Raw genomic sequence first — 26,300 nt, 5'->3', positions numbered from 1 at the left:
CCCAGGAGTTTGAGACCAGCCTGGACAACATAGTGAGACCTCATTTCTTCAAAAACATTTTAAAAAAGATTAGCCAGGACTGGTGGCAAGTGCCTGTAGTCCCAGCTACTCGGGAGACTGAGGTGGGGGATCACTTGAGCGCTGTAGTGAGCCATGATCACACTACTGCACTCCAGCCTGGGTGATAGAGCAAGACAAAAAAAAGAAAGAAAGAAGGAGAGAGAGAAAAGAAAGAAGAAAAGAAAAGAAAGAATAAGGAAATGAATACTTTTTAGATCATATATTCTGACTTTAGGGTTCAAAAACACATGGCAAACAAGACTTGTTTCAGCAACCCCATCTGTGAGAACCCCTCCAAGCCTCTCTGGCTAATTAGGTACCCCTCACCTGATCTCCAGAACCGCCTCTTTTTTTTTTTTTTTTTTTTTTTGAGACGGAGTCTCACTCTGTAGCCAGGCTGGAGTGCAATGGCGCGATCTCAGCTCACTGCAATCTCCACCTTGTGGGTTCAAGCGATTCCCCCACCTCAGCCTCCTGAGTAGCTGGGACTACAGGTGTGCACCACCATGCCCGTCTAATTTTTTGTATTTTTAGTAGACACAGGGTTTCACCATGTTGGCCAGGATGGTCTCGATCTCCTGACTTTGTGATCCGCCCGCCTCGGCCTCCCAAAGTGCTGGGATTACAGGCATGAGCCACTACACCCGGCCCAGAACCGTCTCTTTATTCCTTTGCCGCAAGATTTAAAACATCTTATTGAGATGATCTGCACTTGCCACTTTCTAGATCAAAAGAAAGAACTGCCCCTTTTCAGCTTCAGTAGCCCCAAGAAGGGGTGGTAAAGCCTCCATAAAACTTCCATAAGCCGGGCCGGGCGTGGTGGCTCACGCCTGTAATCCTAGCACTTTGGGAGGCCAAGGCGGGCAGACCACGAGGTCAGGAGATAGAGACCATCCTGGCTAACACGGTGAAACCCCGTCTCTACTAAAAATAAAAAAAATTAGCCGGGTGAGGTGGCAGGCACCTCTAGTCCCAGCTACGCGGGAGGCTGAGGCAGGAGAATGGCGTGAACCCCAGGAGGGGAGCCTGTAGTGAGCCGAGATCATGCCACTGCACTCCAGCCTGGGCAACAGCGAGACTCCGTCTCAAAAAAACAAAACAAAAAAAAACTTCCATAAGCCCTGGGAGAACCACCTCAAACATACAATCAACATAAAAACTGCACTCATTATGCAAACAGAGCTTCAAGCTTCCACCACCCGCTTCCAACCAGACTGTGGTTGGAAAATCTTCAGAAAGATTTTCATCCAGCAAGCCCTTAATGGAGCCATAATATGTGCATAAAACTCAATAGTTATAATTTCAAAATCTAGGGCCAGCCACAATACATTTTTAAAACTCAATAGTTATAATTCTGGGTCTCCAGATATCTGTATCCAAGATCTATCTAAGAGATATTGCTGCCTCCAAGAGCAACAACTCATGCCCCTGTCATGAGTACGATGATCATGTGAAAAACACCTTTTAAATCTGTGAGAAAATATGGACTCATAGGGTATCCAACAACTCCCACGTTTATATAATTAGCACCTTGATTCCTGTTGTACATAATGAGAGGGTTTTTTTTGTTTGTTTGGTTTGGTTTTTGTTTGTTTGTTTGGTTGGTTGGTTTTGAGACGGAGTCTTGCTCTGTCGCCCAGCCTGGAGAGCAGTGGCTCGATCTTGGCTCACTGCAACCTCCGCCTCCCGGGTTCACGCCATTCTCCTGCCTCAGCCTCCCGAGTAGCTGGGACTACAGGCGCCCGCCACCATGCCTGGCTAATTTTTTGTATTTTTAGTAGAGACGGTGTTTCACCGTGTTAGCCAGGATGGTCTCAATCTCCTGACCTCGTGATCCGCCCGCCTCAGCCTCCCAAAGTGCTGGGATTACAGGCGTGAGCCACTGTGCCCAGCCCATAATGAGAGTTTTTTAAATGACCCAACCTTTTAAAATAATTGCATTCAATATATATTTAATCTGAACTCAAGAGGATATGAAAAAAACCCCACCCATCTGTTTGGAGATTTAAAGACCTGGAAAGACTGACAAGCATGATGTGATGGAGATGATGTGTTCTGGAGAAAGAGGTTTAGGAATGGTTTATGCTGTAGTTTTGCCGTTTAAAAAATTTTATATTTTGTAAACTTTTTTTGAAGTATAACAGAAATACAAAAAGTGTAAAATCATAAGTGTACAACATGATGAATCTTTATGTATTTAGCCACACTCATGGAACCAGTACCCAGGCCAAGAAACAGAACATTGCCCACACCCAGATGCTCCTACTAGTTCCCCTTCCAATTACCACTTCCCCAAGCATAAACACTACCTTGACCTTGAATACCATAGATTAGTTTTCTCAAGGCTCTTTTTACAGCTAAACTTAGAATAGTATGGTCATCTATTAAAGTTCTGAGAATCTTTTTTGGGGGGGTGATGGGGGATGGAGTCTCGCTCTGTCGCCCAGGCTGGAGTGCAGTGGCACAATCCTGGCTCACTGCAACCTTCGCCTCCCGGGTTCAAGTGATTCTGCCTCAGCCTCTCGAGTAGCCGGAACTACAGGCGCATACCACCACGCCTGGCTAATTTTTGTATTTTTAGTAGAGACGGGGTTTCACTATATTGGCCAGGCTCCTGACCTTGTGATCCGCATGCCTCTGCCTCTGTCTCCCAAAGTGCTGGGATTACAGGTGTGAGTCACTGCGCCCAGCTGAGAATCATTTAAGAATAGTAAAATTCACAACATTTTACTTGGCTCCTTTAAGTTGTACATGTTTCCTCTCTCCCTCCTGCATGCCAGATCCTCTTCCTTTTTAGGTAAACATTATCTTCCTCTGATTCTCATTATGCAAACAAAGCAAAGGAGTCTGCAGAACGGGTATCTTTTTCGTTGATTCATTTACCAAATATTTATTGGCATTGCTCATATTCCAGGCATTGTTGCAGACACCAGGGTTACAAAGACAATTACAGTACTGAGAAAGGAGCAGTACAGTAGTGGAGGAAAGTGGTGGGGTGCTTTAGGACTCATAGAAAGGGCACCTAACACACCCACAGCACCAGAAAAAGCTTCCCAGAGAACTGTCTCTAAGGATCGGCAGGCATCAATATAGGGAAGAAGGGAGGCCAGGCTGGCAGGGTAGGGGTTTGGGGGGTACAATAGAGGGAGGGGTGATCATGTGCTGAGTCACAGAGGCAGGAGGCTCAGTCTGTTTAGGAAACTGCAAACAGACTGGGCCTGGTGACTCTCACTTGTAATCCGAGTACTTTGGGAGGCTGAGGTAAGAGGATCACTTGAGGCCTGGAATTCAAGACTAGCCTGGGCAACATAGCAAGACTCTGTCTCTGCAAAAACACTAAAAATTAGCCAGGCATGGTGGTGCATGCCTGTAGTCCTGTAGTCTCGGGTACTTGGGAAGCTGAGGCAGAAGGATGGCTTGAGCCCAAGAGTTTGTAGTTACAGTGAGCTGTGATGGCACCACAGCACTACAGGCTGGGCAACAGAGCAAGGCTCTGAAAAAGAGCAACTCTAAAGAAATTTAAATTTTTTCTTTTTTTGAGACAAAGTTTCGCTCTTGTTGCCCAGGCTGGAGTGCAATGGCATGATCTCGGCTCACCACAACCTCTGCCTCCCAGGTTCAAGCGATTCTCCTGCCTCAGCCTCCCAAGTAGCTGGGATTACAGGCATGCGCCATCATGCCCAGCTAATTTTGTATTTTTAGTAGAGACAGGGTTTCTCCATGTTGGTCAGGGTGGTCTCGAACTCCTGACCTCAAGTGATTTGCCCGCCTCGGCCTCCCAAAGTGCTGGGATTACACGCGTGAGCCACCACGCCTGCCTTAAATTTTTTTTTTAATTTAAAAAGTTAAAAGAAAACCAACAACAGCAAACAGCCTATTGCATACGAAGGAAGACAGAGTGTTGAGAAGACTTCTGGGTTAAGATGGTAGACTGAACAAACATTGAATTTCCCTCCCCTCTGAAACCTCACTAAAACTATAGCAACGTTTGAAAAAAACATAGATCTCTAAAGGCAGGGAGAACAGGAAAGGTGACAGGAGTAAAACTTCTGGAAGCAAGAAATTAGATGAATGAATGAAGACTGAGTAGACTAAATAAATAAATAGCCAAAACCCCAGCCAGCAGTGGAGAAAACTGAGGATCACTTTGATTTACACGGCTGGGATGAAGGATTGATAACAGGAATTAGACTTTGCGCAGCTGAGGAGATTATGGTCTGGAGTGGGGAAATAGGGGATCAAAGATGGGGTGAGTCACAATCCTGAAGAACTATCATGGTGGATACATTGGAGCGTGCTGGGAAATCTAAGAAGCCAGGTACGTTCAGCCACTGAAAGGGGGAGCTTGTGGAGAGGTCTTTGGGAAACTGTAGCCCCTATGTAGCTACCTCTTGAGTGAGTCCAAGCCTCTGGTGGCAGGCCTGGGGCCACTGTGGTCAGCAGGCCCAGAATTGGGAAAGAGGTGCTGAATGTGGGGCAGAGGAAAGTAAGGACAAGCTGGAGCCCACCAAACACCTCTGCATCTGTCTGTCACCAAATCTCCCCTTCAGGAAACAATGGCCGTTCCTTCACTTCCACCTCCCCATTCTCATCCCAGTTCCTCTGTGGGCCAGATCCCACTACATAGGGAGGGAGCTTCTGACAAATATAGTTCCTGCTTAACCAAGTGGAAAATAAAACTTGGACCAACACAAGCAACAAGACAGAAGCAGCTCAGGCCCTGCCACCAAGGAGCAACCATACCAGACCCAGACTCTGCTCACGCGTGGACACTTGGGCAAGAGAGAAATAATTTCTACCTTGCTTAAGCTACTGCAAGTCTGGGTCTCTGTTTTTTCGGCTGAATGCATATCCCAACTAAAACACCATCCACGTTTCCACTTGTAACTGTCATGTTAAATTTCCAATCCTTCCAGGTTGTAGATCTGCTACTTGCCTTTCTTTCTCTGGCAGCTTCTGGGCTTCCCATTCTGGTTGGCAGAGTCCCGCACCCACAGCCAGTGATAGACCAAGCCTTGCTACTGCTCACTCTCAGGGGCTGCCGCAGCCCTCACCTAGGTCTTTCTTCCAGGCAGAAGAGAAACTGCCGCCCCTTGTGCCTTCCCTCAGGGCGCTGTCCTCATCCGCGTGGTCAAGGCTGGGTTCCTGCCATGTCTGCGTTTACATCTCCGCAGGAATGAGGAGAGAAAGGAAGCAGAGGAAGGACAATTTCCTCTGAAGCAAGTAACGGAGAAGTTTTCCACTCCCCTTCTGTCACATTTAGGCAGAGGGCCACATCTTAGCCGCAGGGAGGCCATGAAATGTAGTCCCTAGCAGGGCGATCACCTCCCGAGGTCGAGTCTATCGGTGTGGGAGGAATGGAGAATAGATTTGCTGAGACAGGTAGAAGTCCACTGCAGCCTGACCCCACCTCAGGCCTAGAGGACAATCACTCTTTTCTGCTTGCCACAGCCCACTTCTGATAACAGTCCCTCCCCATCCCAGATTCCATTTAGGGTCTAGCCAGAGATTTCTCTCCCAAAACATAAGTTAAATTAGCTGGTGTGGCGGAGGCTGTCATCTCCTTGCCCATGTCCTCAGTCCTCCAGGGCACATCACCCTGTCCAATTCCATTCCTGAAATCTTCACCTCTGGCTTTCTGTGGCTGCCAGAGCCTGCTGTTCCCACAGGACAGGCCTGATGAGCTAGGGAATTAACATCCCTCCCTGAGCCCAATTCACTTCTGTTCATCTCCACCAACCCAAATGCAGGCCCACCTGTTCCAGACTCTGTGCCAGGCACCCAGGAGACAGATTAAGCCTCAGCTCCCTTGAGCACATGCCGTATGCCAGATGCAGTCCTGGATGCTTTACCTATGCCCATCGTTTAATTCTCCTGACAGCCCTTTAAGGTTGTTTCTCTCCTCTCCATTTCATGGATGAGGAAACTGAGGCTTAGGAAGGATAAACACCTTCCCAAATCCCCAGCTTATAATCAGCAGAGATGGGGTTTGAACCTCCATCTATCTGTCTGTCTCCAAAACTGCTGCTGTTTTCAGCTGTCTAATGACAGATGCTACCTGACCCCAGAGCCTCTAGTCTGGGAACTGGGAAATAACAATACATGTCAAATGCAACAATAAAAGTACTTAAAACTAGATAGATGATGGTTTCTTTTGCCTTCTGCTGGGCGGATGCATTCTAGTGATGAGCTACAGAGACACGCCCTCATCCCGGGACTACTTAACAGTTGTATTGTGACCTGAGAGGGAAATAAAATTCTGTTATGTTTTTTGTTTTTTGAGACGGAGTCTCACTCTGTCACCCAGGCTGGAGTGCAGTGGCACGATCTTGCCTCACTGCAACCTCCACTTCCTGGGTTCAAGCGATTCTCCTGCCTCAGCCTCCAGAGTAGCTAGGGTTACAGGCGTGCACCATCACGCCCAGCTAAATTTTTTTTTTTTTTTTTTTTTTGAGACAGAGTTTCGCTGTTGTTGTCCAGGTTGGAGTGCAGTGGCGCAATCTCAGCACACTGCAACCTCCGCCTCCCAGGTTCAAGTGATTCTTCTGCCTCAGCCTCCCGAGTAGGTGGGATTACAGGTGCCTGCCATGCCCCACTAATTTTTTCTATTTTTAGTAGAGACAGGGTTTCATCATGTTGGCCAGGCTGGTCTCAAACTCCTGACCTCGGGTGATCTGCCCGCCTCAGCCTCCCAAAGTGCAGGGATTACAGGCGTGAGACACCATGCCCGGCCGCCCAGCTACAATTTTTTTTTTCTTTTTTTTTGTATTTTTAGTAGAGACAAGGTTTCACCACGTTGGCCAGGTTGGTCTCGAACTCCTGACCTCAAGTGATCCACCCGCCTTGGCCTCCCAAAGTGCTGGGATTACAGGTGTGAACCACTGCACCTGGCCATAAATTCTGTATTTTTAAGCCACCATTATCTTGAATCTTTTTACAGCAATCAAACTATTTTAACTCAGTGCTTTCCAACATTTTTCACACCATGGGACATGTGGAAAATGGTAGTGTTTATACAGCACATTAGGATAAACTCAAGATTTGGGAATGTCTATAAAAGATTTGGCAAAGGCCGGGCATGGTGGCTCACGCTTGTAATTCCAGCACTTTGGGAGGCTGAGGCGGGCGGATCACAAGGTCAGGAGTTCGAGACCAGCCATGGCCAATATGGTGAAACCCTGTCTCTACTAAAAATACAAAAATTAGCCGGGCATGGTGGTGGGCGTCTGTAGTCCCAGCTCCTCAGGACGCTGAGGCAGGAGAATCACTTGAACCTGGGAGGTGGGGGTTACAGTGAGCCAAGATCGCGCCACTGCACTCCAGCCTGGAAGACAGAGTGAGACTCTGTCTCAAAAAATAATAATAAAAATTAAAAAAAAAAAGATTTGGTGAAAAGACTAATTACATTTTCTGTCTTTTTTTTTTTTTGAGATGGAGTCTTGCTCTATCACCAGGCTGGAGTGCAGTGGCGTGATCTTGGCTCACTGCAACCTCTGCCTCCCGGGTTCAAGCGATTCTCCTGCCTCAGCCTCCCAAGTAGCTGGGACGACAGGCGTACGCCACCACATCCAGCTAATTTTTGTATTTTCATTAGAGACAGGGTTTCACCATGTTGACCAGGCTGGTCTTGCTCTCTTGACCTCGTGATCCACCCACCTCAGCCTCCAAAAGTGCTGAGATTACAGGCATCAGCCACTATGCCCAGCCTCTATCTTTATATTTTTAAGAGACTAGTCTCTCTATATTGGCCAGACTGGTCTCAAACTCCTAGCCTCAAGCAATTCTCCCACCTTGGCCTCCCAAAGTGCTGGGACTACAGGCATGAGCCACCGCGGCTGGCCTACATTTTCTTTATAGTATATAACCATGAAAAGAAATAAAGTACAAAGCATTTAATAAGAGAGTAAACATTTAATTAGAATACAACTTCCAAATAACGTATTTTCAAATTTTATATGAGAAATCAGCTTTCTTCCATGAACATGCTTTTTTTATCTTAGATTTTTTTTACTTGAAATGGCTACAAAATTCCTGATTTTGTTTTTCTAATTATGCTCTATTCAAATTCATGATTATCACCATCAACAAGAAACTCTGCACAAGTAGGTGCTGCAAAGGACAGTGATATCTACCATTTTCCTCAGTCAAAAACTCCTTTCTTGACCGGGCACGGTGGCTCACACCTGTAATCCCAGCACTTTGAGAGGTGAAGGCGGGTGGATTACCTGAGGTCGGGAGCTCAAGATCAGCCTGACCAACATGGAGAAACCGAGAAACCCCGTCTCTACTAAAAATACAAAATTAGCCGGGTATGTGCCTGTAATCCCAGCTATTCTGGAAGCTGAGGCAGGAGAATTGCTTGAACCTGGGAGGTGGAGGTTGCGGTGAGCCTAGATGGTGCCATTGCACTCCAGCCTTGGCAATGAGAGCAAAACTCCGTCTCAAAAACAAACAAACAAAAAACAACTCCTTTCTTGTCCTTAATAAAATAAGGATCCTCTGAATTGTACTTTAACCATGCAAAAGTTGTCTAAATCTAATAGCTCTGCTTTTTCTTCTCTTTTTTTTTTTTGAGATGGTTTCTCGCTCTGTCGCCCAAGCTGGAGTGCAGTGGCACGATTTCAGCTCACTGCAACCTCCATCTCCCAGGTTCAAGCGATTTTCCTGCCTTGGCCTCCTGAGTAGCTGGGGCTACAGGCGCACACCACCATGCCCAGCTAATTTTTGTATTTTTAGTAGAGACAGGGTTTCGTCATGTTGGCCAGGCTGGTCTCGAACTCCTAACCTTAGGTGATCCACCTGCTTCAGTCTCCCAAAGTGCTGAGAGCAACAAGATGTATTGTCAAAGTTTCTTGTAATAATGTAAAGGGCTTTAGAATACAATAGCATTTTTTCCATGTCAAGTATTTTCAAATCATGATGAATTTTTTTTCAACCATATGCAGATATTGCTCTAGTAGCCTTAATAATTTTTTATTTAGGATTCAAATAATAACTTCAGCTTGGTTCACTGGTAAACCATTTGTAATTTCACTTTTGCAAAGGTGAATTTTATTCTTTAAATCCATAAATGCTGTTGGCACATATTAATATTGTGTGAGGGGTTCCCAAGACCACCCTCAGGCTTAATGATTTGTTAGGACCCACAGAGCTCAGAAAAGCTGTTATACTCGTGGGTTAAATTTATTACAGTGAATGGATACAGATTAAAATCATAAAGGGGCTGGGCTCGCGCCTGTAATCCCAGCACTTTAGGAGGCCAAGGCAGGCGGATCACTTGAGGTCAGGAGTTCGAGACCAGCCTGGCCAACATGGCAAAACCCTGTCTCTACTAAAAATACATAAGTTAGCTGGGCGTGGTGGCATATACCTGTAATCCCAGCTACTCAGGAGGCCGAGGCTGGAGAATCACTTGAACCAGGGAGGTGGAGGTTGCAGTGAGCCGAGATCGCGCCACTGCACTCCAGCCTGGGCGACAAAGCAAGACTCTGTCTTGAAAACATAAATAAATAAATAAAATAATAAAGGGAAAACGTGCCTGGGAGAAGTCCAGGAGAAACCAGGCTCAAGGTTCTCATTGTCCTCCAGTGGAGACACATAGATAGCACCTAATTCTCCCAGCAATGATATTTGAAAACATGGATGAAGTGTTGCTGACCAGGGAATCTCAGCTAGCTTTGGTGTCTAGGATTTTTACATATTTATTTTTATTTTTTATTTTTAAGATGGAGTCTTGCTCTGTCTCCCAGGCCGGAGTGCAGTGGCGTGATCTTGGCTCATTGCAACCTCCGCCTCCCTGGTTCAAGCGATTCTCCTGCCTCAGCCTCCTGAATAACTGGGATTACAGGTGTGTGCCACCACACCTGGCTAATTTTTTGTATTTTTGGGAGAGATGGGGTTTCATCATGTTGGTCAGGCTGGTCTTGAACCCCTGACCTCAAGCGATTAACCCCCCCCCCCGCCACCCGCCTCCCAAAGTGCTGGGATTACAGGCGTGAGCCACCACACCCCACTGTGTTTTTAATTAAGGGTCAGTCACACAGGGATGCAGAACCTGCAGGGCCGATCTTAGCTCCTCAGTTTCCAACCCCCAGAGGTCAAATTGATAAGTGTTGTTCAAGGCCTCAGCATAAGAAAGCACTCTTATCCGGCAGGATATTCCAAGGGCTCACAGGTGATCTTCCAGGAGCTGGTCAAGGGATGGGTCCTGAAGACCTTTGGCATGTGTAAGGTTTGGGAACTCCAGACAGTTAACCTTTTCTGCACAAATAGACTTTCATATGATTTTAAACTTTTGATTAGGATCATTCAGAGCGTCAAAAATGTCAATTAAGTACGTCAGATTTTGAAGCCAATTACTATCTTTCAAAGAAGTTGCAAAGTAGGTTGGGTGTGGTGGCTCACACCTATAATCCCAGCACTGTGGGAGGCCAAGGTGGGAGGATCACTTGAAGCTGGGAGTTCAAGACCATCCGGGGCAACATAGGGAGCTCTCATCTCTACAAAAAGTAAAAATTAGCCTGGCATGGTGGTATGCACCTGTAGTGCCAGCTACTCCAGAGGCTGAAGTGGAAGGATCAATTCAGCCTGGTAGGTCAAGGCTACAGTAAGCCATGATCATACTACTTTCACCCAGCCTAGGGTAACAGAGCAAGACGCTGTCTCAAAACAAACAAAAAAATACTGCAAAGTGAGAGTGACTCACAATTTTTTGATTTTATTTTTATTATTTTTTAAGCTCATAACTCCTTATTTTTAAATTATTATTTCTTAAACTCATACACTCTAGACAAAACTGTTCCTTTGGAGGATCATCCCATTTCTGTATGAAACAGCAGAGAATAATTTTTATCGTCTTATTTCTTCACACAAGGTTGAAAACATACAGGGCTGAGAGGCTTGGATTTAATTCACCATTTTTGATCACATCATCTATTGTGGATTTCAGATCTTTAAGGAAACCTTTATATTCAATAGCATGTCTGTGAATAAAAGAATGTGTGGTGAGGTTTGGGCTTCTGGTTAAATTTTTTAAAAAAAGAATGTATTGCGGCTGGGCGCAGTGGCTCACGCCTGTAATACCAGCACTTTGGGAGGCCAAGGCGGGCAGATCATCTGAGGTCAGGAGTTTGAGACCAGCCTGGCCAACATGGTGAAAACCCGTGTCACGCGCGTCTGTGTGAAGACAGTCCACCAACAGGCTTTGTGTGAGCAACAGGGCTGTTTATTTCACCTGGGTGCAGGCAGACTGAGTCTGAAAAAAGAGTCAGCAAAGAGTGGTGGGATTATCATTAGTTCTTATAAGTTTGGGATAGGCAGTGGAGTTAGGAGCAATTTTTTGTGGTCAGGGGGTGGATCTCACAAAGTATATTCTCAAGGGCGGGGAGAATATTACAAAGTACCTTCTTAAGGGCGGAGGAATATCACAAAGTGCATTAGGAGGATGTGTTGTCATAAAGTCAATCGATCAGTTAGGGTGGGGCAGGAACAGATCACAATGGTGGAATGTCATCTTTTGTGGTTCCTCAGTTGCTTCAGGCCATCTGGATGTATACGTGCAGGTCACAGGGGATATGATGGCTTAGCTTGGGCTCAGAGGCCTGACACCCGGTATCTACTAAAATACAAAAATTAGTCAGGGTGGTGGCGCGCGCCTGCAATCCAAGCTACTCAGGAGGCTGAGGCAGGAGAACTGCTTGAGCCTGGGAGGTGGAGGTTGCAGTGAGCTGAGATGACACCACTGCACTCCAGCCTGGGCGACAGAGCAAGACTCCGTCTCAAAAAGAAAAAAAATGTATTGCTTGAATCTCAGGATTTTTTGGAACGATCTTGTGAAACCTTGATACCTTGTTGTGGTAGCCACCTGCTGCAAACACAGACTCATCCATTGTGGACACAGATCTTAGTCTATTCAAAATGCTCATTTAGGCCAGGCGCAGCAGCTCACACCTGCAATCCCAACACTTTGTGAGGCCGAGGCAGGAGGATTGCTTGAGGCCAGGAGTTTGAAACCAGCCTAGGCAACATAGCAAGACCACATCTCTATGTTATAGATTTTTTTTTTTTTTTGGCTAAAAAAAAAAGTATCAGATTCAAATAGAGACAATTTCAATCCTTCCGCAAGGTGACTTAACTTCTTCACTCATAACCACTAATCTGGCTTTTATCACTGTGGGTTGGATTTGCCTGTTCTAGGACTTTGCACCAATGGAATCATATAGTACATACTCTTTTTTTTTTGGCTTTTTTCTCTCAGTATCATGTTGGAGAAATCCATCTTTGTTGTTGCTTATGGCTAAAGTTTATTTCTTTTTATTGTTAAATAGTATTCCATTGTATGGATATACCACAATTTCTTTATTCATTCACCTGTTGAACATTTGGGCTGTTTCTAGTTTGGGGCTGTAATGAATAAAGCTGCTACACACATGCTTGCACATGTCTTTTTGTGGGCATATGCACCTGTTGCTATTGAATGAATAGTTAGAACTGGAAACATTGGGTCAGAGTAGGTATATGTTAACTTTAGAAACCTTTTTTTTTTTTTGAAACAGGGTCTCATTCCCATTGCCCAGGCTGGAGTGCAGTGGTGCAATCACAGCTCACTGCAGCCCCCACTTTCCAGGCTGAAATGATCTTCCCGCCTCAGCCTCCTGAGGAGCTGGGACTACAGGTGTGCACCACCACACCTGGCTAATTTTTGTATTTTTTGGTGGAGACAGGGTTTCATCATGTTGCCCAGGCTAGTCTCCAGCTCCTAGGCTCAAGTGATCTGCCCACCTCGGCCTCCCAAAGTGCTGGGATTACAGGCGTGAGCCCCCACACCCAGACCATTTTTTCTTTTCTTTTTTTTTTTTTTTTGAGACGGAGTCTCGCTCTTTTGCCCAGGCTGGACTGCAGTGGCGCTATCTTGGCTCACTGCAAGCTCCGCCTCCCGGGTTCACGCCATTCTCCTGCCTCAACCTCCCGAGTAGCTGGGACTACAGGCGCCCGCTACCACGCCCGGCTAATTTTTTTTTGTATTTTTAGTAGAGACGGGGTTTCACCGTATTAGCCAGGATGGTCTCGACCTCCTGACCTCGTGATCCACCCGCCTCGGCCTCCCAAAGTGCTGGGATTACAGGCGTGAGCCACCGCGCCCGGCCCCATTTTTTCATTTTTAAAAGCAAACAATAACTCATCCTGAAATTCCATCAAGAATCAAACTGTAGGCGTCCAGGCGCGGTGGTTCACACCTGTAATCCCAGCACTTTGAGAGGCCGAGGCAGGCAGATCACTTGAGGTCAGAAGTTCGAGACCAGCCTGGTCAACATGGCCAAACTCTGACTCTACTAAAAATACAAAAATTAGCTGGGCATTGTGGTGCATGCCTGTAATTCCAGCTACTTGAGAGGCTGTGGCAGGAGAATCACTTGAACCCGGGAGGTGGAAGCTGCAGTGAGCTGAGATCATGCCACTGCACTCCAGCCTGGGTGACAGAGCCAGACTCCATCTCAAAAAAAATAAAAAAATAAAAAACAAACTGTATTCATTGTTAACATTAAAAATGAACAGACACTCCCCCAATCAAGAAACAGCAATTGAGAAAATTAACAACATAACTCATTTTCTTTTCTTTCTTTCTTTTTTTTTTTTTGAGACAGAGTCTTGCTCTGTTGCCCAGGCTGGAGTGCAGTGGTGTGATCTTGGCTCACTGCAACCTCCACCTCCTGGGTTCAAGCAATTTTCCTGCCTCAGCCTCCTAAGTAGCTGGGACTACATGTGTGTGCTACCATGCCCTGCTAATATTTGTATTTTTAGTAGAGATGTGGTTTCACCGTGTTGGGCAGGCTGGTCTCAAACACCTGACCTCGTGATTTGCCTGCCTCGGCCTCCCAAAGTGCTGGGATTACAGGCGTGCACCACCATGCCCTGCCCAAAATAACTCATTTTCTATAGGGAAACACATAACATTAAATAATAATATCCATACTTTTATGTTAGAAAAATAAGAGAAAATTATTAAGTTAAAGAAAAGCCAATATTTTATATGTACTTGCAAAATAAAGAAGAATTTATCAGTTGCAGCTGATAAACAGATAAACAAATCATGACTAGGATCATAGTCAGACTATTCTGTGGAGTGTGGGACAATGTGGCCATGACAAAGTCTTTCTGGCGGCAAGTGCTTTGAATAAAATCTTAACCACCAAAATAATTATTACCTAATTCAGGAAGTTCATAGAGGAAGCTATCTAACAGTGTTCAAATATGTTTTGGCTCTTGTCAAATTTTGAGTAGTTGAATAGGTCAACATGCTTGTGGCTCATTTATGGCATGCCAGTTAGAAAGCTCAGTCCTAACTAATAGAAATAGGGTTTCCAAGACAAAATATGTTATGTGGTCAAATAATTTTGGAGAATTCCATGCTAAAGTTAAAATGCACATTGCATGCTGCAGGAATTCTCAGAACCCTTAAGATGCCAGTGCCCGCTGTGATTTTTTTTTTTTTTTTTTTTTGGCCTTCAAATGGAAGTGGGCAAGGCACAGAAACATGTAGTTTCACGTAAACACAAATGCACAAAAAACATATAAAAATACTCAACCTCACTCATAACTCATATTCACAATAAAACAAGATAGGCCGGGTGTGGTGGCTTATGCCTGTAATCCCAGCACTTTGGGAGGCCGAGGCGGGTGGTGACACCTGAGGTCAGGAGTTTGAGACCAGCCTGACCAACATGGTGAAACCCCGTCTCTACTGAAAATACAACAATTAGCCGGGCGTGGTGGCGCGCGCCTGTAATCCCAGCTATTTGAGAGGCTGAGGCAGGAGAATGGCTTGAACCCGGGAGGCGGAGGTTGCAGTGAGCCGAGATCGCGCCATTGCACTCCAGCCGGGGCAACAGAGTGAGACGCCGTCTCAAAACAACAAAAACCGAAAGAAAACAAGATAGGATTTGTCACGTGGAAGATTGGCAAACTGGAAAAAGCTTTATAACGTCCAGCGCATTTGAGTGGGAACAAGTGCTCTCACAGAATGTAGGAGGCTGTGTAGATCTATAACTCTTTGGAGGAAGTATTGGTTAGGGATGATGCCCACTGGCATGTAACAGAAAGCCAGACTTCATCGAATAGGGATTTGTTAACTTTCAAAAAAAGATATTAAGTCTAGAGACAGGCGTCCCAGGCTAGTGCAGCCTCTCTGCAACATCACCAGGGTCTCAGGCCCCTCCACCATGCTTAGTACAAAGCTTTTACTCTCACATTTGCCTCACTGTGACCTCATGGTTACAAGATGACTGCTTTACCCCCAGCCTCGGGTTCACATTCCAGGCAAAAAGAAGGGAGTGGCAAGGAAGAAAATGTGGTGCCTCTATCAGGAAATGAATGCTTTCTTAGGTGCCTCCAGCTGACTTTTATCGACATTTGAGTATGTGGAACTGGCCGCCCCTAGATGCAAGGAGAGCTGTGGATTTTTTAGCTCAGCACATTGCCTATTTGAGTGAAATCAGATATTGATTTACCTGATCTGGCCTCAGCTGACTATCTCTTCTCTTACGATTCTACTCTGACTTCTGTTCTTCTACCTCACTGACTTTCACAGGTACTGTTAGCATTTTACCCAGATCCTTTTAAGATCCCCTTTTCCTTCATGTTGTGTGTGCCCCCAACTTTGCTAAGCTTTTTCTCTTAACATTTAGTACTTAGTACCCAACACCTAGTACCTAGTACCTATGGCTCTTTGGATAGGGCGCTACTGGAGCCCACTTTGCCCAGAGGAAGTGCCTGAGAATTTACTTGAAAAAGCTCCCTGGGATGACCCTAGCCAGATGTTAATGGGAGGAGAGTTTGAAAGTCTCAGCAACCTTGCCTTAGGTTGGAACAAACACTGAGGTGTAACTTATATGCCAGAGCTCCCCTTCCTACCCGACTCTACCTTACCCCACCCCGCCCCACCCCCGTGGGATCAGGGTGAGACTACCTTCCTCCGGATTTCGCATGAAATCACACGCTTGCTTGGCTTCCTCCTCTTCCCTGCCCTGCTTCCCCTACACCCTTGCTGGTTATTCCCCACCCTACCCCTAAGGGAGCACTAATCAATCACTTATACAGGAATCCTCTCAGAGTCTGCTTCCAGATCGCCTGACCTAAAACACCAGCCAACTTGCAGTTTCTAGAGCATGCTAAGCACGTTCCTATCACAGGGACTTTGCACGCTGCAGGAATACCTCCCCCCAGACACATGCACGGTTCACATCTGCACTTTGTTTGTGTCTTTGCTCAAATGCCACCTTATCAGTGAGTATTTTCTTTTTTCCTTTTTTTTTTTAGACGAGTCTCGATTTGTCGCCCAGGCTAGATTGCAGTGACCCTATCTTGGTTCACTGCAACCTCCACCTCCGGGATTCATGTGATTCTCCTGCCTCAGCCTCCTGAGTAGCTGGGATTACAGGTGTGTGCCACCATGCCCAGCTTATTTGTGTATTTTTAGTAGAGAAAGGGTTTCACCATGTTGCCCAGGCTGGTCTCGAACTCTTGACCTCATGATCCACCCGCGTCGGCCTCCCAGAGTGCTGGGATAACAGGTGTGAGCCACTGCGCCCGGCCATCAGTGAGTATTTTCTTAACCACACTGCCTGAAATAGAACCACTCCATCAACTTCTATCCTTTACCCTGCTTAATTTCTCTATGCAATTTAGCACAGCTTGGCTTAACAGTATTTAATACACAGTATTTTGTTTATTGTCATTCTCTCCTACCATAATATAAGCTCAGAGGCCAGGAACTTCGTCTTGTTTTATTCTCCTCTGTATCCCCTGCACTGGAATTGATTAATGCCTGCCAGAAGAAAGGCCTTGTCCGGGTGTGGTGGCTCATGCGTATAATCCCAGCACTTTGGGAGGCCGAGGTAGACGGATCACCTGAGGTCAGGAGTTCGAGACCAGCCTGACCAACATAGAGAAACCCCGTCTCTATTAAAAATACAAAATTAGCCAGGCATGGTGGCACATGCCTGTAATCCCAGCTACTCGGGAGGCTGAGGCAGGAGAATCGCTTGAACCCTGGAGGCAGAGGTTGCAGTGAGCTGAGATCATGCAATTGCACTCCAGCCTGGGCTTGAAACTCCATCAAAAAAAAAAAAAAAAAGAAGAGGCTGGGCGCGGTGGCTCACGCCTGTAATCCCAGCACTTTGGGAGGCCGAGGCAGGTGGATCACGAGGTCAGGAGATCGAGACCATCCTGGCTAACACGGTGAAACCCCGTCTCTACTAAAAATACAAAAAAAAAAAAAAAATTAGCCGGGCGTGGTGGTGGGTGCCTGTAGTCCCAGCTGCTGGGGAGGCTGAGGCAGGAGAATGGCATGAACCCAGGAGGCGGAGCTTGCAGTGAGCCGAGATAGCGCCATTGCACTCCAGCCTGGGCGACAGAGCGAGACTCCGTCTCAAAAAAAAAAAAGAAGAAGAAGAAGAAAGGCCTCAAGTATATTTGCTGGTTGAATAAATGATTGAATATCTAAGGATCTATGCAGACTTAGGTAGTAGACAGTGGGTTTTAGCTTTGAAGAGGGAAAACAGCTTTGTAGATTCCAGCATTTATTGATACACCAAAGCTGAGTCAGGAGCCCGAAGGAGCTCATGGTCTCAAGGAGGACCCAGACCCCACTCCGCAGTGGCCTGTGCACTAGGCTATACAGACACAATGGAAGAAACAATCGCTTCTGCCTGGGAGAATCCAGGAAGGCTTCACAGAAGAGGCCACATTTGACATTAAAAAGGATCAGTTTCTCTGGAGGAGAAGGTGGGGTTGCAGTCCTGTTAGGAATAGCTTGTAAGAAGGCATAAAGTCCATGACCTGCCTGGTGTGGACAAATTAAAGAGTGCCTGAGGAGAGCCACAGGATACTGAAGGACAGAAAGCAACAGAGTCACCAGAGGACAGCCAAGGACCTTGAATGCTGAGGTTTGTCCAGAAGGCAGTGGAGAGCCAAGTGCGGGGCTTAAGCTGGGAGAAGGGCAAAGGCGAGTAGGGTCAGAGCTGGATTTTAGCAAGTTACTCCTGGTGGTGACATGGACGAGGCTGAGAGGGGAAAACCAGGGGCTGGGAGGTCGGTTGGGGTCTGCCTTGATGTCACCTAATTTCAGCTCCAGGTGCAGAGCTGAGATGTTGGCACCAGAGGGCGCTCTGACCCAGAGCACGGGCCTCCTGCCATTCCCGTTCTGCTCCCGCTGGGCACTCACCTGGCGCTCTCGGAGACAGTTCGCACCTCCAGCCGGGGCCCGACCTGTGTGCTCAGCACACAGGCCTTGGGAAATCTTCTACATTACGTCTTGTTATTTGACTTTGTCTTTCCATGTAATGGCTGAGACTGTGAGGTGCTGCTGGAGGTGCAGTGGGGGAACAAATAGGCAAGATCCCTGCTGTCCTAGACCATGTGGTCTAAGCCAGCGGTTCTCAAAGTGTGTTCCCCGGGTCAGGAGGCCTGGCATCTCCTGTGAATGAGCAGACGCACAGATTCTCGGGACCCACTGCAGACCTGCTGAATCAGACACTCTGGGGCCCGTGGCCAGCAATCTCTGTTCTAACAAGCCCCTCTGGTGATTCTGATGGTGTCAAGGGTGAGAGTTGCTGGTCTAAGAAAACACTGCACACTATAGCAAGTTCCTTCAAAGGACTGATCCAGCAAGCTGCGGAAAGGCACTGACTCAAGGGAGCCAAGGGCCAAGCATAGAAGGCTTCCTGGAGGCAGTGTCTAGGAGTCAACTAGATAAAAAAGGGAGAGAAAGTCATTCCAAAAAGACAGAACAGGCTGGGTGCAGTGGCTCACACCTGTAATCCCAGCACTTTGGAAGGCCAAGGTGGGAGGATGGCTTGAACCCAGAAGTTTGAGACCAGACTGGGCAACATGGCAAGTCCCTGACTCTTAAAAAACAAATTTTTTTTTTAATTAGCCTGGCATGGTGGCTGGCGCCTGTGGTCCCAGCTACTCTGGAGGCTAAGTTGGGAGGATTGCTTGAGCTCAGGAAGTTGAGGCTACAGTGAATCATATTCTCGCCACTGCACTCCAACCTGGGCTAACAGAGTGAGATCCTGTCTCAATCAGTTAATCAGTCAGTTCAAAAAGAGAGAACTGTGCCAAGACCCAGAAGTAGGAGAGCTTAGTCTCTTATTGAACTCCAGCTCGAAGGGACCTGACACAAGGGCTCAGCCTTTGTCCCACGAAGTTCGCTCTTGTGACTTCTAAGTATGGTCTCATGTTTTCTTCTCTTTAAATTTTTTTTTTATTGTTTTTAGTTGACCTTAAATACTCTCCTATCCAAGAGGTTTCATGTTTTAAAAGACGTTGTTATCCTGGGCAATCTAGTGAGACCCTGTCTCTATAAAAAACAAAAATTAAAAAAAAAATTAGCTGGGCGTGGTGGCTTGCACCTGTACTCCAGATACTCAGGTGAGGTGGGAGGATTGCTTGAGCTCAGGAGGTCGAGGCTGCAGCCTGGGCAACAAAGGGAGACTCCATCCCTATTTGAAAAAAGACATCGTCTTCCAAACAAGCTGCCTTAAATAATTAATCTTCATTTATTTCCTACTATTATGAATCTATCTATCTATATATATATAGCTCCTATCAGAGTTTTTGATTAGCATGAGATGTTCAGACTCCCTATTCTGCATTAATCATTATAGCAACTACCATTTGCAGAGGGCTGACTCTGGGCCAGCCTACGTGCCAAGTGCTTTACATGTGCTAGCTCATTCAATCGCCACTAGAAACCTCTGAGTGGGGTCTTATCACTCCCATTTTACTTAGGAGGAAACTGACACCCAAAAGAGACTCAGTCACTTGCTCAAAGGCACATCACTGACTGTGGTCTAACCCTGGCCTATCTTCCTGTAGAGTGGACTTGATTCAAACGTTTCCCTGTTCCTTGGGAGTGATGGAGTTCCAGCCTGAAAGAAAGATACCTGGCCCATCAGCACATACAGTTTCATCCTGAGCAAATGCTTACGCATTCTTGTTATGCATTTAGAAGTCCTAATATAGCTCATGGTACCCATTCTATCTTGAGAGTTCCCTAGGGTTCTGGGACTCCGGGTGAGAATCACTAAGCTAGTCCAGCCTTTTATCTCTCCCCCTGCCATACTCAATATACAGATAAGAACGTGGAAGCCCAAGGAGGGGCAGTGAAGTCGAGGCAGCCTTCCAGGAACCCCCTCAAAGGATCCCCTCATGTCATAAAACTAGAAAAGACCTTCCTCAGCCAGGCACAGTGGCTCACGCCTGTAATTCCAGCACTTTGGGAGACCAAGACGAGAGGATTGCTTGAGCTCAGGAGTTGAAGACCAGCCTGAGCAACATAGTGAGACCCTGTTTCTACAAAAGATTTTTTTCTTTTCTTTTCTTTTTTTTTTAAATTTCCAACATTTATTTTAAGTTCAGGGATACAGGTGCAGCATGTGCAGGTTTGTTACATAGGTAAACGTGTGCCATGGTGGTTTCCTGCACAGATCATCCCATCACTCAGGTATTAAGTCCAGCATCCATTAGCTTTTCTTCCTGATGCTCTCCCTTCTCCCACCTCCCACCCTCCGACAGGTCCTAGTGTGTGTTGTTGCCCCCCCATATGTGTCCATGTGTTAACATAATGCAGTTCCCACTTGTAAGTGAGAACATGCAGTATTTGGTTTGCTGTTTCTGCATTAGTTTGCTGAGGATAATGGCTTTGAGCTCCATCCATGTCCCTGCAAAGGACATGATCTCTCTTTTTTTTTTTTTTTTTTTTTGAGATGCAGTCTCACTTTGTCGCCCAGGCTGGAGTGCAGTGGCGCGATCTCAGCTCACTGCAACCTCTGCCTCCCAGGTTCAAGTGATTCTCCTGCCTCAGCCTCCCGAGTAGCTGGGATTACAGGTGCCCACCACTACGCCCAGCTAATTGTTTGTATTTTTAGTAGTGACGGGGTTTCACCATATTGGGTAGGCTGGTCTTGAACTCCTGATCTCATGATTCGCCTGCCTCGGCCTCCCAAAGTGCTGGGAGTAAGTGCAGACATGAGCCACCATGCCCAGCTGATCTCATTCTTTTTTATGGCTGCATAGTATTCCATGGTTCTACAAAATATTTTTTAAAAATTAGCTGGGTGTGGCAGCACACACCTGTAGTTCTAGCTACTTGGGAGGCTGGGGCAGGAGGATAGCTTGAACCCAGGAGGTAGAGGCTGCTATGAGCCGTGATTGCACTGGTACACTCCAGCCTAGGTGACAGAGCAATACCCTGTCTCAAAAAAAAAAAAGAAAAGAAAAGAAAAGAAAAGAAAAAATAAAATAAAATAAATTAAAGGAAAGAGCTCCTTGGTCCTTGCGTCATTTTCCCTATCTCCTCCCTTTGCCCTCCCTCCTTACCTCACTCCCTGGCTTCCTTCCTTCTCAAGCTTCTAGTGAGCCCCTGCTCTGTGCCAGGCCCCTGGTGCTGGGGACACAGGGACAAACAAGTACTTCTTGCCATTCTTTCCATTTCTTGTGGGCTGTAGCACAGTGCCGCACATGCTATGTTATTAAGTTATCTCCACCACAAATGCCGTTTCCACCAGATGTCATTAGTGGCAACATGATCTACAGTCTCACTCACTGGCATTGCAGGATAGAATACAGCATAGCCCGCACCCACCTCCCCACCCCTCCAACCCTACCTACCTCTGCCCTTCTTCCTAAAAAGGGCAGATGCCATTTCCATTAGCCCTGTAGGGGGCACTGTCTGCCTCCTCCCTTTTTAAAAAAGGACCAGCTGGTAGACAGACTTCGTGTATCTGCCTTTTCTCCTTCATGCTTTCCTGCCATTCATGACTCATTGCTAATCAATTTTCTCTCTTCCTTGTGCCAGTTTTATAGCCAGGCTTCGCCATCTGCCTGGTGGGCGAGTTGTGTTAGTCTGTGTTTGTGTTAATAAATTAGTTCGAGTAATATTATCTGTGCTGGCTGCTAGGAATACAGACAACAGTTAGCCCTGGTGTCTGCCCTAGGGAAGCTCACAGTATGGGGTGGGAAGGGGAGGCTGCTATTCCCGCACTCTGCGAAAGGGCTGCTGGATAGGGTAGCTTTACTGTTAAGGGTGGGACTGCACTGTATTTAGGGCATGTTTACTATGCCCCAGTGAGCCCTGGGCAACACAAGGGCCCCTTTGGCTCTCTTGGCTCTGAAAAGGAAGCCAGGAGTCTTGGTGGGAAACCTCTAATAGCCGGGGGAGGGAAACGCTGTCCGGGAGAAAACCCTATTTGTTAGCAGTCTGGGAGTCATCTGTCCTTCCAGGCCGACTTTTAGTAACCATAACATCAGTTAAAATAATTTTTTTTTTTTTTTTGACACGAAGACTTGCTCTACTGCCCAGGCTGGAGTGCAGTGGTGGGAGCTCGGTCCACTGCAACTTCTGCCTCCCGGGTTCAAGCAATTCTGCTTCAGCCTCCCGAGTAGCTGGGATTACAGGTGTGCGCAACCATGCCTAGCTAATTTTTGTATTTTTAGTAGAAATGGGGTTTCACCATGTTGGCCAGACTGGTCTCAAACTCCTGACCTCAAGTGATCCATCTGCCTTGACCTTAAAATAATTTTTAATAAAGATGATTTTTAACATTGTTACAAAAGTAGTAATGTGCTCAATGAAAAAAATTTCAGTGATAGAGAAATAAAATGAATTTCAATCTTTGCCTTCAATCTGTCTCACTGTTAACACTTTAGTATGTTAATTTCCAGGTATACATAATAGATATTATAATCATATAGCTACATATGTGTATGTGTTTTTATAATCAAATATATGTGGAAAGAGCTAGAGAGATTATTGTCTTTCTTTTTTATTTTTTTATTTTTTGAGACGGAGTTTCACTCTTGTCTCCCAGGCTGGACTCCAATGACGTGATCTCGGCTCACTGCAACCTCCGTCTCCCTGGTTCAAGCCATTCTCATGCCTCAGCCTCCCGACTAGCTGGGATTACAGGCACGTGCCACCATGCGCAGCTAATTTTTGTATTTTTAATAGAGACGGGGTTTTGCCATGTTGGCCAGGCTGGTCTTAGAACTCGTGACCTCAGGTAATCCACCCACCTTGGCCTCCCAAAGTGCTGGGATTACAGGCATGAGCCATTGCGCCTGGCCAAGAGATCATTTTCAAAATATAAATAAAAATATAATAAAATATTAGGCCGGTCGTGGTGGCTCACACCTGTAATCCCAGCACTTTGGGAGGCTGAGGAGGGTGGATCACCTGAGGTCAGGAGTTTGAGACCAGCCTAGCCAACATGGTGAAACTCCGTCAAACCCTGTCTCTACTAAAATTACAAAATATTAGCTGGGTGTGATGACACGCGCCTGTAATCCCAGCTACTTGGGAGCCTGAGGCATGAGAATTGCTTGAACCCAGGAGATGGAGGTTGCAGTGAGCTGAGATCGCACCCCTACACTCCACCCTGAAGGTTAGAGCAAGACTCTGTCTCAAAAAAAAAGTATATATATATATATATCTATATATAATATTAAACATATAAAAATACCTGTTATAACATGTTATCTATATAATAATATATCTTATAGATATACAATATACCTGTTATTCAAATTGCTTTGTCTTCCAAACGGAGAACTAATTTCCATGTTGGCAGGTGTAGATGGATCTCCCTCATTCTTTTTATCAGCTGTATAGTATGGACACACCATGAGGTACCCAATTCTCTGGTGATACTCATGCAATTCCTGTCTTTTGTTATTATAAACAATGCTGCAAAGAACCACTATATATTTCTCTTTGCTCACTTTTGCCATTATTTCAATAAAATAAATTCTCAAAGGTGGAATGGATTTGATCAAAGGGCACATAAATATAAAGTTCTGATGAAATAGATGAATTTCTTTCCAAAAATAATATTGCAATTTGCATTTGCCCCAGGAGTGATGAGATACCAACTGACACGCTCCCCAACACTGGGTGCCTTTTAATTTTTGCAGTCTGATACATGAAATATATTATCCCATTGTTGTTTTCATTTGGATTTCTGTGGAGTCAAACATCTCTTCCTGAGTTGATTGGCCATTTGAATGTCATCTTCTATAAAGTGTATTTTCCCATGTCGTTTGTCTATTTTTCTTTTCTTTTCTTTTTTTGAGACAGAGTCTCACTCTGTTGTCCAGGCTGGAGTGCAGTGGTGTGATCTTGGCTTACTGCAACTTCCTCCTCCCAGGGTCAAGTGATTCCCCTGCCTCAGCCTCCCAAGTAGCTGGGACTACAGGCACCCACCACCATGCCTGGCTAATTTTTGTATTTTTGGTAGAGACAGGGTTTTACCATGTTACCTAGGCTGGTCTTAAACTACTGACCTCAACTGAACCACCCGCCTAGGCCTCTGTAAGTGTTGGGATTACAGGTGTGAGCCACCACGCCTGATTATATTTTTCTTACTCATGGTTTTCTTCCTTCCTTTGTACTTTTTAAATATTTTAAAATAATTAATTAATTTTCTTTTTTTTGAGGCAGAGTCTCACCCTGTTGCCCAGGCTATAGTACAATGGCGTGATCTCGGCTCACTGCAACCTCCACCTCCCAGGTTCAAGTGATTCTCCTGCCTCACCCATCCAAGTAGCTGGGGTCACAGGTGTGTGCCACTACACTGGGCTCATTTTTTGTAACTTCAGTAGAGATGGGGTTTCACCATGTTGGCCAGGCTGGTCTCAAACTCCTGACCTTGTGATCTGCCCACCTTGGCCTCCCAAAGTGCTGGGATTACAAGCGTCAGCAACTGCACCCAGCCTGTACTTTTTTTTTTTAAGTTGATTTGTAGGAGGTCTTTGCATATCAGGTTATTAGCTCTCATCTGCCATGTGGAAAGCAAATCAGTATTTTTTATAATTTAGTGTTTGTCATTTGCCTTGCATATGTTTTTTCCCCCTACAGAAGTTTAAAAATATTTATGTAGTAAGATCTGTCCATCTTTTCCTTGATAACTTCTGGGATTTGTGTCATATTTTAGAAAGATTTTCTCCACTCCATGATTAGGAAAACATTCTCTGATATTTTCTTCTAGCATGTTTATGGTTTTGTTTTTTACCAATGCATACTTAATCCATCTGGAATTTATTTCAGTGCATGCAGTAAGTTAGAGATTCAGTTTGGTTTTTTTCCAGATGGCTCATCAACATGTAGTTTCCCCTTACATATGTGAAATGCCACCCTTATCATACACCAGATTTTCTTATGTGTTTAGGTCTATTTGTGAATTCAATTCCACTTTACTTCTTTGTCTTCAGTTTCTGAGCTAACACGCTTTAATTATCGTAACTTTGAACATGCTCATAATCTTTTCCAAACCTTTCTCACTATAATAGCAACAAATCTCCTGAGAAGCTGCACACCCTTTCTTTGGCTCTGTTAATGTCTCTACAATGAGGCCAAACAGTCTCCTCAAGGTGACTGTAAATCTTTCCGCCCACTTTCCTTTGTTTATTCCACACTGCGCACCTGCTCTGTGTCTTGGCTGTGTGGGATCAGGAGAGACAGAGGGAACAACACAGATGCAGACCCAGCTTTACATGCTAACTTCAGTGATTAACCCTCAAGGCCACTGCAATTTTCATGATGACAAGTTCAGGGACACTGAACTTGCTCCCAGGGACTCTCCTGGAAACCATGCCCGGATCTCATTGCTTTCGGATGCCCTCGAGCCATGGCTCAGCCAAGGCCAGTGGTAACAGAGCCAAAAGAAGTTAAATTTTAAATAAACCTGACTTCCTCTCCAACATTGTTAGAGAAACCCTGATCCAGTTCATTCCGTTCCCATTAGATAAGAAAAAGCCAAAAAAGATGCAGTCATTGGGAACTGTGGTATGCTGTGAGCTTTTGGAAATGGATTCTTTTCTTTCTTTGCTTTGCTTTGCTTTGCTTTGCTTTGCTTTGCTTTGCTTTGCTTTGCTTTGCTTGCTTTCTTCCTTCCTTCCTTTCTTTCTTTCTTTCTTTCTTTCTTTCTTTCTTTCTTTCTTTCTTTCTTTCTTACCTTTGTTTTTTCCTGGAAGGGAAGAAAATGGAAGAAAGACTCTTGAGAAGGCTAACTTGTCTGGAAATGGTCTTTGAAGCTCAGCAGTGAGAAGACAGCATATTATGGGTCTGGTCCTGTGACCTTGAGCACGTCATTGAACGTCTCTGGACCCCATTTCACAAACATTCAGGCCCAACAAATAGGCGCTGTGCCAGAAGCTTTATTTATGTACAGTCTTATTGGATGCTC

General features: G+C 45.7%; 1 annotated feature.

The window, feature by feature from the left end:
- Nucleotides 25,556-26,055: an enhancer, noted in NCBI's record as "H3K4me1 hESC enhancer chr1:41410503-41411002 (GRCh37/hg19 assembly coordinates)". NCBI's record gives its function as "activates a minimal SCP1, AML or CMV promoter by ChIP-STARR-seq in primed H9 embryonic stem cells {active_cell/tissue: H9 hESC(primed)}" and the evidence as "EXISTENCE:reporter gene assay evidence [ECO:0000049][PMID:30033119]".

Source organism: Homo sapiens, chromosome 1 (genome assembly GCF_000001405.40).
Source record: "Homo sapiens chromosome 1, GRCh38.p14 Primary Assembly".
In the NCBI taxonomy this organism is placed as follows: Eukaryota; Metazoa; Chordata; class Mammalia; order Primates; family Hominidae; genus Homo; species Homo sapiens.
This window is presented reverse-complemented; position numbering and strand designations above follow the sequence as displayed.